Source organism: Homo sapiens, chromosome 1 (assembly GCF_000001405.40).
Source record: "Homo sapiens chromosome 1, GRCh38.p14 Primary Assembly".
Lineage (NCBI taxonomy): Eukaryota > Metazoa > Chordata > Mammalia > Primates > Hominidae > Homo > Homo sapiens.
The window spans coordinates 196,373,073-196,385,740 of NC_000001.11; the positions used below are offsets into that span (position 1 = coordinate 196,373,073).

Consider the following 12,668-nt stretch of genomic DNA (forward strand, 5'->3'; position numbering starts at 1 on the left):
TCACATAACTGCCCTTATTGTTTTTTATATAATTTAAAAGGTTAACTTAAAGAAAAAATATACTTACTGCCCTCTAGAGGTATGAACCAGTAGTGTAATAAGTGTAGATGTTGCTGGGCATATACAGTTTAAAGCTAACATGGCGTATTTAAACTCTTCTTCACAAACAACATGATCTGTTTGAAATAAAATAGGTAAATTAGAATAATTTACCTTTGGAGAGTAATAAAATGTAAAAAATAAAACAAAATGAATAAAATGGTAAAAGTCTCAATATAAACATACTTGTTTTAGAGATGTTTTTACAAGTGCAATTTTATCCCCAGGAAATATATCTCCTAAGAAAGAGTACTGGAGTATGGGTTAAGTGATTGGCTTGGGGGTCACTCCTGTCTCAACAAATTTAGCAACCTTTGCTAAAATGCTTAACCCTGTCTTAACAAAATTGGCAACTTTTGGTAAAATGCTTAATCTTCCTATGCCTAGCAGGTGGGTTTGAGGTGTGGTCTAAAATATTTCAAATACTTTATAAAGTCTCCTTTTGTTCTGATAATTCTATAGTATAAAATACAACAGTACTGATTTAGAAGAGTACTGATATATCAAATTCATAATGACACAGCATAAATTTTAGAAAGTAATTATTAAAAGATTTAGCAGATAATATGTGCCTAGCATAGAAGAAATATATTTGATACTATGAAAATAACTGTAATATCAAGCAATAGAATTTGCTAAAATAAATTGAAATTAAAATTGTACTTTAACTCCAAATTCCTAAAAGTCATAAACCCAAAAGATGATAGGGTCCAACCAGAAAACATAATAAATGGCTGCTGAAATTCAATGACATAAAAATAATAGTGCTAGAAATGAGAGCACATGGGAAAGTGCAGGCCACATCTAAAGAGAATGATGCTACTCAGGCCAAGCATTGTTATGCAGGAATGAGGGCTCAGATGCCAGATATTCTATTTTCTACAGAAGTCGTGTTTTTAAAAAGTGATTAAATAGTGTTTATTTTGGAAAAAACAAAAACCTGTTTTCCCAAATAAACAAGTATAGCTGGTATTAAAAATAAAGAGAAGGTTTAAAATTCTAAGAAAATACATATTCTTAGGCAGAAAAGTAGCACTTTTAGCAAAATTAAGAAATAGAAGATCAAATTTGTCAGTGAGCTAGATCTATAAAATGAATACATAACACCATACAATTTATGAAGAAAGAAGAAAAGGTTACATGGGAAATGGTTTAGCAAATGCTCTGGACAAACATTGACTTTCGTTCTGCCCTGTTTTTATAATATGATTTAGTACATGAGATAGCATACTACTTTTTATTTTGCTTTCATTTTTTATTGTTTCTCTTTCACATTTTATGGAAGAAAATATATACTATGGATATATGTCAGGATTTACTCAAAAATACAAAAATATCAAGTTTCTACTGATAATCTCTCTCCCCACACCCACTTGTCAATATATTATAATTGACATAAAATGTTTTTGAAATACATAACCAGATTATTTATTGCTTTGCAGGAAAGGCAAGCAGATTCTAGATACAATTTTGAATGCAGGGAAGTGTACATAAGATTTGCAAAAGAAGAGTGTTTTTAAACTATCATTTCAATATTATCTCAAAATAATTTTGAGTGTGTATGCCCAATCTGTGAAAATAGAGTGACAAAACTGCTAAACCCGGAATGTTATTACTGTAGAATCATATGATATCAATACATAGGGAACCCATAAATTTCAAATCAAAAATTAGAACAGATGATCTGAGAAAAATATGTACATTTATTACCACATAGAATTGTTAAAATTTCAAACTGTAACAGAAAATTTGGAAGGTATGATTACCATATATGCAATGTAGCATGCAATTATTAACTTTTCCTTACTACAGTGCACAAACCATATTTCTTTCAGTAGGGGAATGTGAGAAAATGTGATGGATGTGTTATACTTTGAAAATATCTCATTGTATTTTCCTTCAATAGTTAAAAAAGTAAAAAAAATAATTAGGTCTCCTCCCTTTTCTTCAATAAATGTGTGCATCTGAGTTTGGGGGGCAATGGCTGTGGGAAGATTTTGCTGCAGTGGCTAATGTTTCAAAAACTGTACTAATCAGAGAAAATTAGAAGGAAGCAAAAGATTCCTACATTTCGATAGTCATTTTTGTATTTGCATGTGTCTTTTTTCTACATTTGGTAAAAGTTTTACAGTGTCTATCAGCCCTTTCAACAATAAGTATATGTACTACCATCAATGGTGGCAATTTTACACATAAACACAAAGTATGTATGCACTGTTCCTTTGTACACTGAATTATCTAGGGATGCAACTGCGGTGTAAATTAAGAGAAATTTTACTTTATTATGTTTAGCATTGTATGTAAGTCATTAATAAAAATTAATATATGATATGTATCAGTCAAAACCTAGCACCTTGTCATTGGTAAAAGTGTCTTTTTTTCCCACTGTCTTCTTGTTTATTCATGCCTGAGTGTTTACATATTAAAAAAACATGCTTTTTATTATTATTTCCATTTTTTCTCTTTCATATTAGAATTAGAATATTATACTAACTTTTTATACTTTATGTGTATAGATAGTTATATTTACTCTGAATTTCATTTCAAAATAGTGTAGGAAGTGTTGCAAAATATTTATTATAAAAAGAGAGTACTGGATCAGAGAAAATAACCATTTTTAGATAAATAAGTTAATATATAATTATCATGAAAGCCTTTGTTAGAACAAATGTAAATTCAGTACTCTTTTCATTAAGAAAGCTATTTAATTTCTAAGAATGGAAAATACAAGGAAAAAGATATGATATAATATTCAACTGGATAATAATCTTTATTTGCATGCATCACAGAGAGCTAAAACTCAATCTGAAAAATAGAACTGCTTCTATATCTAGACTTGTCCTCTTAGGTCCAAATCCATCCTTCCTCTTGGGACATTTTTTAGAACTAACCACTAATCCTCAGCCTGAATTAAAATACTGAAAATATTCCTTCATTCTAACTGCCCCTCATTTCCCAATACATTATAATAGCCAAAGTTTATGGATTATACAATCAAATTCCCCTCTCTTTCTTTTTTTCCCATTGTCATTCTCACTACTTACTACAGGTTTCTAATACATCCATAATTCTTAAGGCTCAGATATCAAATTTCAGAATTAAAAAATATTCAGATTTTAGAAAGGCAATATGTTTCATCTACCAGACACTATATAACATATCCAAGGAACAACCTATTCCTAAAAATATCATTGTTTCTGCAGCTAAATGTTTGAATATTTATACTAAGTAGAAAAAATAAAGGGTTAAATAGCTTCATGGCAGTTCAGTGCAGGAACTACCACCAAATAATTTCAGATAATTTCGTGTTTTACCACCAAGACTACAAAAATATTTTCATGTTGCAGAGATTCCTGGTTTTGGAATTACAGCTAAGGGATTGTGGACTGTTATTCAAACTCTGATGTTCTTTCCTCTAGGCTAACAACTTTCTAATTGGTTTTCATGTTTTCCAACTCTTTAGCATTCCACCTTGTAAGACTTGATTACATAATTTGGGTCACTCTTGACACATTCAACTAAAATAAAACCATCCCTATAAATTTTATTAAACCAATTAAAAAAGAAAGAAGGAGGAGAAATGAAATAAAACAAGCTTGCAGCACCATTCAGCATTAATCATTAGGTCAGCTTACTTTCTGACCCGCTTCCTCATAGTTGTTTCCCTATTGCCCACAAACCACATAAACACTGTCACAAGTGTAATCGAAGATGTAGGTTATTAATAATGTGCCATGACATTCAAGCAGGCTAAGAAGGGAAGACAAGACCTATGGGTGTAAATGGCAGTGAAGATTTGGTAGGGACAATGAATTGTAGGTCTTGTATGGTCAAAAGATAGTTGAAGTTCTTCATTAGAGGGAGTGAACTACAAAGATAGGAAGTGGTGGTCAGAGAAGGACACACTAGGATTGGAGATGACAGAGGAGTGACGTTTATTGGTAATGATATGATCTAAGTTACAACCCTAGAATGGTTGCTGAGCTAGGATGAGCTGAGCAAGAACACTGAAAGAATGGAAATTACAGAAACATTATTCTAGAACATCAAAAGAATCCTTTTCATGGGCATAAACATCATCAGATAGTATGACCAAGCAGTGTTGGAGAGAGTGACGGTGAGCTGGGAGAGAGAGTACATTTTCAGGTTTATCAGATACATTTTTTTTGGTGGGGGGGAGAATTTCAAGTCAAAAACTGCCAATTTTTATCAAATAATTTTCTAATTAAAAATAGAAGAGACAGTCACAAAATTTAGATAATATAGAAATGCATACTGTAGAAATACATCAATAACAGTAACTGCTATTTTTCCCTACTACCCATTTTCCTCTTTGTATGCAAAAACCACCTACCTATGGAGAGATGTTTAGAAGAGGTGGTTGAAAAGGGCAAGTATACTAATGTTTGTTCACAGCACCTTGCTGATTTTAGTCAGCAATACATAGAGAGCTGATCTGAGGTAAGAACTGATCACTTTGCAAGCAGAAAGAGAAGGGAATAGAACTCTCTTAAGTAGTACATTGTTTGCTTGTGATCAAAAATCTAATAAAAAGTATAAAAATGAACACTTGCAGAATTGAAAAAGTGAACTGTATCCTAAATAGCAGGAGATGACATTCCCTTTCAGAGCCTTTATCAGAGGCCTCTAATTTAGACTTCCCAGCCAGACCAATAAAGACAGACCTGTGACAAAATCAGATTAAAGTGCAGTGCTGCCTTCACATTGAAACTTGTTTCAGATGATACCAAGGTATCCACCATTGCAAGAAAGATGGTGATATGGACAGGGCAACAAAATCCAGTAAGTCAGGTTTAACAAGGTTCTTAGAAAAGAACTTTGAACACAGTTACTGACACATAGAGAGGCCTAGAAGAAATCCACTCGAATTTCAACTTCAAGAGTGGCCACAGAGAATAGTGAGCCATGAATATGAATGGACAAAGGAATTACTCCGTAAAGAGAAGAATCAAGGTTTAATTAAGGAATTTTATATGTTGCTTTGGAGGTTTCTCAATTCGTGTGCCAAAGGACATACTATGGACCAATGACTACTGTGCATTTCCTTCTTCTGTTTTCCAAAAACCATTATTTTATTACAACTTTCTTCCTCTACTATTGTGTATCTGTATGGGGTAGTGGTCCTGGGACCACTTAGCAAATTTATTAATGTGCATATTGCTAGATTATTAGGAGCCACATCTAGATCCAACTTTACATTTTCCAGATATCCTGAACTTTGAGCTGGATGTGTCATTTGATGAAACTTGGAGTATTTGTCTTAGGGAATGGATGAGTGTTTTCTCATTTATTCCCTATGTCAAATACTCCAAGTTTTAGTGGCGCTATATGAATGCCATTTATAGTAGCCAGTAAATGGCTAATAGACATACTAAAAAGAAAGAAAGAGAAAATGAATACTGGGGGAGAGAGTAGTTTTAACCATAGTTCAAGCCTTTAGGCACCCAAGAAACCATGTACATTATGTATTATATATATTTATATAGACAAACAACATTATATATGTAAGTAATATATATGAAACAGCAATATAATATATAATAATTTAATATATAATACAATATGTAATATAATATCTACTAAATCAATATATAATATGTAAACAACATTGTATATATAATTATATATATATATTATATATATATAATGTTATGCATGGTTACTTGGGTGCCTAAAGACTAGAACCATCGCTAAAACTACTACCTCCCCCAGTATTCATTTTCTCTTTCTTTCTTTTTAGTAATAGACGCTCTTATTCCCCCCACCCCACTTTCATATTTTACCTGGATTCATGGCTGCTCTGGTAGAAATTACATATCTCAGTTTCCCTTTTAGATATGGCCACATTACTAGGGTTTGTCTGATGGGACAATGTGCAGAAATGGATAAACTCTGGATTACTTTTTGTATACAAAATCACTTTCCCTAAACTCTTTTCTTCTTGTTGGTGAGACAACATATGTAGCAAAAGCACAGCTTTGATTATGCAAAGAAGGACAACTCTTTATCAAATATAAATCTGTCATTTTTTTTCCTTCTAGCTTCTAATTCCCCTCCTTTGTTGAAGAAAGTGTTTCCTATTTAAAAATTATATGTGGCAGGGTGTGGTGGTTCATGCCTGTAATCCCAGAACTTTGGGAGCTGGAGGCGGGCACATCATCTGAGGTCAGGAGTTTGAGACCAACCTGGCCAACATGGCAAAACCCAGTCTCTACCAAAAATACAAAAAATTAGCCAGGCGTGGTTGTGCATGCCTGTCATCCCAGCTACTCGGGAGGCTGAGGCAGGAGAATCACTTGAACTCAGGAGGTAGTGGCTGCAGTGAGCCAAGACTGTGTCACTGCACTCCAGCCTAGGTAATACAGTGAGACTTTCTCTCTCTCTCTCTCTCTCTCTCTCTCTCTCTCTCTCTCTCTGTATATATGGAGAGAGAGAAGAAAATACAAGATATATGTACATGCATCTTATCTTGTATTTTCTTCTCATCCATTTAAAGTTTCTGTTTATTCTGACTTAGATCTTTCTTCACTATTGCTTGTTAAGACATAAGCACATGAGATCAAGTGGTCAAGTGGTATCACCAGTGAGTGTGCCAGGCCATGGGCAAATTTCTTAATCTGTAGGCCTAACAGGCCTTATCTCTAAAATGTGAATTACAGTAGTGTTTACCTCATAGAATTGTCTGAGGAAAAAAATAGAAAATGAGTATAAAATGCTAATTAGAATTCTAAACAAGTATTATGGATCATCACAATCCTGCGTTATTAAAATCAAAAGATAGATTTCAATAAACTATCTTGAAACAAATGCCAACAGTATACTTTTAAAACGTAAGTGGCAAAACAATATAGCATAATTCCATTGTTATTCAATTAAAAACATGGTCTCACTTTTGTAAAAATGCTGAATTCTGCAAGAATGCTCATGTGTATGCCTGTATGTGTGTCTGGATATGCACAGAAAATAGTGTGTAAAGATAAGCATCAAATTGTCAATAGAAACTGCCTCAACAGGTGGGAAAGAGTTTTAGAAGCATATGACTTTTAAAATAGTAGTATTTTGTGAGATTATTGATTTCTTCTTTGTTATTCTAATGTCTGTCATTTTCAGTTTAAAAGCTTCTAAAATAAAAAATTACAATTGAGATGCAAATGCATTGATAAATATGAATCAAAATTGTCTTCAAGTCCCTTTTACTTTATGAAAAATAAAATTGATAGTTACTTTAAAACAAGTCAGAATATTTTCTTAAAGGTCTACATCACCTTATATTCTGAGCTTTTGTGTGATTTAAAGTACTAGAAACCTCTTCCATGCAGTTGCTAGGTAACAGCTCTTTGGAAAACAGTAAATAGTGGAAAGTGCAGTAAACCAATCTAGTGCTGGGTTTTAATTTACAGAAATCAAATATCCTTTGGAAAATGGCTTTTAAATAGAAAAACGAACCAGGGTGGATTTTAAAATCTAAATGTTAGTCATTTTTATTTTATGGGGAAAAAGTTTATTAAATAGAACAACTGATTAAATTGCATTATAAAATCTTTCCCATATCCTTTGCTTATTAGATTCTATTTGCAAGCAAGAGTGGGTTTATTGCTACAAAAAATTGTATCTTTTTCTTATATGAGAATAGATAATGTCTTGCAATCAAGTGAGTTTTATTTTGATCCTGTTACTTTAATCAATAAAATAACCACTCGTGTGTGCATGCGTGCGCGTGCATATGAACACGTCAGAAACTTTGCCAATTCAGATTGTGAGGCATTCAACCACTAAATGGCTAAGAATAGATTTAAGTAAATCCTTAAAAGTCACTTAGTTTCACTAGATCTAACTATAAGAATGCTTATTAAATGCATAGAATCTAACCCAATTTGAGATTTGCAATTTTCTGTAAAACAGATTTATTTCATTTCAATAACACAAGTAAAAAGCACGTTTCTGTTTTTCCAGTTGCTTCAATACTTATTTTAGTACAATAAATATAATCTTTTTTGATGTTTCAGGCTATTAAATACTCAAAAGGGGGCTCAAATTTCCTCTACCCTAGTGCAGAACAGTTTTAATTTCATTAACCTCCTTTTCTTTTATACCTCTCATAAATACATAGCAGTCTTAATATTTTTGAAAAATTATTTTCCTCCAATTTCTTTAGGTTCTAACCAAGAGTATACTTTATCAGCTTCTGATAGTATCGAAGATACTTACTGAAGCTTCTTTTTAGTAATAAAATAATAATACTAAATAATATTTCTGCTTTCATGCTAAGTTATATATATATATTATTAAACCTCTCAAAAGTTCTATGATATATATTGTGTTAAGTAGTTTTCAGATAAGCAATCAGATATTCAGAACAGTGAAGTAACTTGGCTGAATTTATTACTTATTAAATTCAAACTATCTACAAAGGACTCTACAAAAGCTATACGACTCTAAAATTGATTAACCAGCACTTAAAATAGGTAACAGAATGTAGCAGTGTTTCCCTCTGTAGAAACCACTTAAAGATGACCACTTGCTACCAGATGAACAAATGGCTGGAGCATCCATTACACTGAACTGATGACTGAGAAAACACAACCACCAAGCTCCCCGAACACCTGTCGTGTAATAGTGAAGTTTGAGAGAACGTAGGCAAATTTGCCTTTGAGATCAGTTTCATTCCTTTTCAACCACAAAACACAATATTGTAGCTGAACTAAAATAATTTGAATGACTGATTCAAAAATATTTTGGAAGATTTCTGGAAGATTTATTAGTAGCAAATAAATACTGCAATAAATGGTAAAAAGAAAGTAAATGCATATGTATTAAGAGGATATACAGATACTTTGCCTGCTCTGAGGGAATGAAAAAAGCCTCACTTAAGGAAATAATGTTTAACCAAATTTATTTATTTATTTATTTATTTATTTATTTTTGAGATGGAGTCTCCCTCTGTCCCCCAGGCTGGAATGCAGTGGTGCGAGCGCGGCTCACTGCAAGCTCCGCCTCCCAGGTTCATGCCATTCTCCTGCCTCAGCCTCCTGAGTAGCTGGGACTACAGGTGCCTGCCACCACACCCGGCTATTTTTTATTTTTTTTTGTATTTTTAGTAGAGACGGGGTTTCACTGTGTTAGCCAGGATGGTCTCGATCTCCTGACCTTGTGATCCGCCCACCTCCGCCTCCCAAAGTGCTGGGATTACAGACGTGAGCCACCGCGCCCGGCCTGTTTAACCAAATATTTTAAAGATAATTAAGAAAAGTTGTTTGAAAGGTGAAGAAAGTATGCAGAATTTCGTAAAAATAAAATTGGAGAGGTAGGAAGAAACGGAAATGTTTACACAAATATATTAAGAAAGAAAGAAATCTAAAGATTAAGGAAGGAAAAATATTGCTGAGGTTGCTGATAGGGTATGAGGTAATTGGGCACTCAGCAAAGATATGGAAAGGAAATCCATCAATTATAATAGGAAAAAGCAGGAAGCAATAAGTGAACATAAATTAACATTTGGAAAATAAGTTGCAAAATTTAAGGAAGTTTTCATGTATTGGCTTCCCATATCTCTGTGTATTAGAAAATGAGATAAATTTGAAATAGTAATTACAAGAGCAAGAGAATAATTTGATTAAAAGAAAAAAACAAAAAAACACAACGTTAAGGGCCGCTTTGAGCTGCCTGAACATGAGTTTATGGTAACACAATCTGACCCACTGAGTATTATTGTTTTTCCAGGAGTGCCAGTCAAGGAGTGAAAAAAAAAGGATCAGCGTACATGGAATTTTGTTTGTTTGCATGTGTATTTACTTTTGATCAAAAGCTATGGGAAAAAAATGAAAAACAAAGGAAGTCAGAACACTGACATGTGGCTGACTGAATGAAGTGGCAGACTAGGGAGTTCAGGTTCCTTAGAGAGGGAAAAAGAGAAGAAATGGAACTGAGGCACAGGAAGACTCTAAACTGATGATGAAATGGAATAATGGTTCTCAAGCTATTTGTGATGAAGGGCCAGTTTTCTTTTTCTTTTTAATTGTAAAATAAAAAGAAAGAACAGGTCGTAACCCATTGCAAGCACATAGGCAGCTCATGCCATATGTGATTCACCTATGATTTTGATATAGCCCAAACTATGTATATGCTTAGTAGTCTATATGTTTTCCAAAGAGACAGTCCACTAATTATGCATTTGGATGTCATGGCAATGTCAAATCGCTATCAAAATTTCTAAAATGCTGCTCTCAATTGCTGTATTTATCATGTTGTAGCTTGATAAAAGTCTGTGGAATGAAACTGGTCTTTGGACCACACTTTGAATAACACTGCATTAGATGAGTTGATGAGGTGGAAGGAGAGTGTTTTATAGCACTGGGTGATTGAATAAGCAAAATGGAAAGAAGATTGAATTTGGATACTTTATGGGCTGAACAGTATAAATAAGACTGGAATCATCGGGAGTGATGACAGGGTCCAAGTATATCTTCTATTATACATCATTTTTACTGTAACCCTCAGGAAATTCGTGTCTTTAAATCAAAAAAATAAACTTTTGAATCACGCATTCTATGAAGACTAAAATGTAACCCCAGCACTTGCAGAAATGCTATATAAAGTAGGAAAATGTATTCAATGTTGCCCTGTGCTTGATTTAAAGAATCATTGGATTTGGAGTCACATGGCATGAGTCTGAATCCCTTGCCTGTAAGTATGTTAAGTCTTTGGCCAGCTATACCTTGCAGCAAATTAGATAAAAAAATGCATAGTTATTTTTATAAATCACAAAACGCTGTAATTCTTATGTAGTTAACAATACTATATTTTATACTTGAAATGTGCTGAAAGTAGACCTTTAATATTCTAACCACACACATTAAAAAGGGAACTATGTGAGGTGATGGATGTGCTAACTAACTTGATTGGGTAAATAAGTTCATAATGCATATGTATATCAAATCATCACATTGTACACCTTAAATTTATACAATTTTATTTATCAAATATACCACAATAAAGCTGTAAGAAACTAAAGCTGTTAACTTCAATTGAAGTGACTCAGGAAAGCATACAGTAAGCTATAAATCCTCATAACAAGTAAAGTTTTGTTTGATAAAAATAAATAATACATAGAAATGTGCATTTATGTGAGCCCACCCATACTCTTCCCTTACCAATGAGGAAAGATGCTACAATTTGCCTGATCCTCCCAGACCAAAAAAACCCAGAGCCAAATTTATGATTGTCACATATAATCTCACGCCTGTAATCTTAGCACTTTTGGAGGCCAAGGTGGGCGGATCACTTGAGGTCAGGAGTTCGAAACCAGCTTGACCATCATGGCGAAAGCCCATCTCTACTAAAACTAAAAATAAAAAATTAGCTGGGCATGGTGGTGCACGCTAATGGGTGTAATCCCAGCTACTTGGGAGGCTGAGGTAGGAGAATCGCTTGAACCCAGGAGGCGAAGGTTGCAGTGAGCTGAGATCTTGCCACACTCCAGCCTGCAGCCTGGGTGACAGAGTGAGACCCCATCTCCAAAAAAAAAAAAAAAAAAAAAATCTGTTAAAACTGTTTTGGCAACCATTACTCTGGACAAAATTATTTAAAAAAATAAATAAATACAATAAAATACATAAAATCATCCCTTGAATTAGGCATTTAGAACCCACTTTTTGGCCACTGGTTATCTTTTAGAAGTCTCGCATAACAACCTAATCTTCATTCCCTCTTCCTCCCAAATGTCTATTTTTATGGAATAAGAGATTGAGAGACCTTCAGACAGACAGACAAATAGGCAGATGCTACTATCAACTAGATATTCACTTAATAACCCAAATAAACTAACATATAAAAAAGATTGAAATTTCAGTTTCACCAAGAGAAATATGCACTTTAAAAGGAATTCTTAATGCAAAGTAAGCTTTATTTTATGAGACAATTGAGCCAAATGTTTTGTCTTGTTGGAGTCCTTACCTACTCTGAATTGTCCTTCTTCAACATCACCAACTTCAACCACCCCAAACAGCCCACACAACTCTTCAATATGATATTCACATCAGCAGATTCCAAAAATAAAATCAGTTTGACATTCCAATCATGTACTATCCACACACTATTTTTGACCTGTACAGCATACCACTGTACTGAATACTGTGGGCAATTGTGACACAATGGTGAGCATTTGTGTAACTAAACATGTCTATACATAGAAAAAGGTACAGTGAAAAGATGGTATTACACTCTACGGAACCACCACTGTGTATGCAGTATATTGTTGACTGAGACGTCGTTACGCAGCACATGACTGCATATAAAAAGCCAAATTGCTACTAATTTCAGAATATAAAAAATCCCTATAACTCATTAAAAAATCGCCAAACAGAAAATAAGGGCACAGGGATAAATTTTATATACAAATGCAAAAATTAAACAAAAAATACAAGAATGTACAACTCTGTGTAATAAATAAAGATTTAAAATTTTAATGAAGAATTAAAGGCAATACCACATATCTCTTAAAAGCACACATTCTGGAGACAGAGAATGTGGATTCAAGTACTGTCTCAACC

At 33.5% G+C, this 12,668-nt stretch overlaps 1 protein-coding gene across 14 annotated transcripts in view, besides 1 other annotated feature; it reads right to left on the bottom strand.

Annotated features, from left to right (window-relative positions):
- KCNT2 (potassium sodium-activated channel subfamily T member 2) overlaps window positions 1–12,668 on the bottom strand; it is a 382,662-nt gene that overhangs the window by 147,294 nt on the left and 222,700 nt on the right. For 13 of the 14 annotated variants that reach the window (NR_146058.2, XR_001737149.3, XR_001737151.3 and 10 more), the window contains one exon: window positions 68–176. The exons of the other annotated variant lie outside the window; for it this stretch is intronic. Coding sequence is in view for 10 of the 13 variants with exons in the window: in NM_001287820.3 (NP_001274749.1) it covers window positions 68–176 (109 nt within the window). In the remaining 3 variants the exon portion in view is untranslated. The remainder of the gene's footprint in view (window positions 1–67; window positions 177–12,668) is intronic. 14 annotated transcript variants of the gene reach the window in all.
- Window positions 660–1,196: an enhancer, noted in NCBI's record as "OCT4-NANOG hESC enhancer chr1:196342862-196343398 (GRCh37/hg19 assembly coordinates)". NCBI's record gives its function as "activates a minimal SCP1, AML or CMV promoter by ChIP-STARR-seq in naive H9 embryonic stem cells {active_cell/tissue: H9 hESC(naive)}" and the evidence as "EXISTENCE:reporter gene assay evidence [ECO:0000049][PMID:30033119]".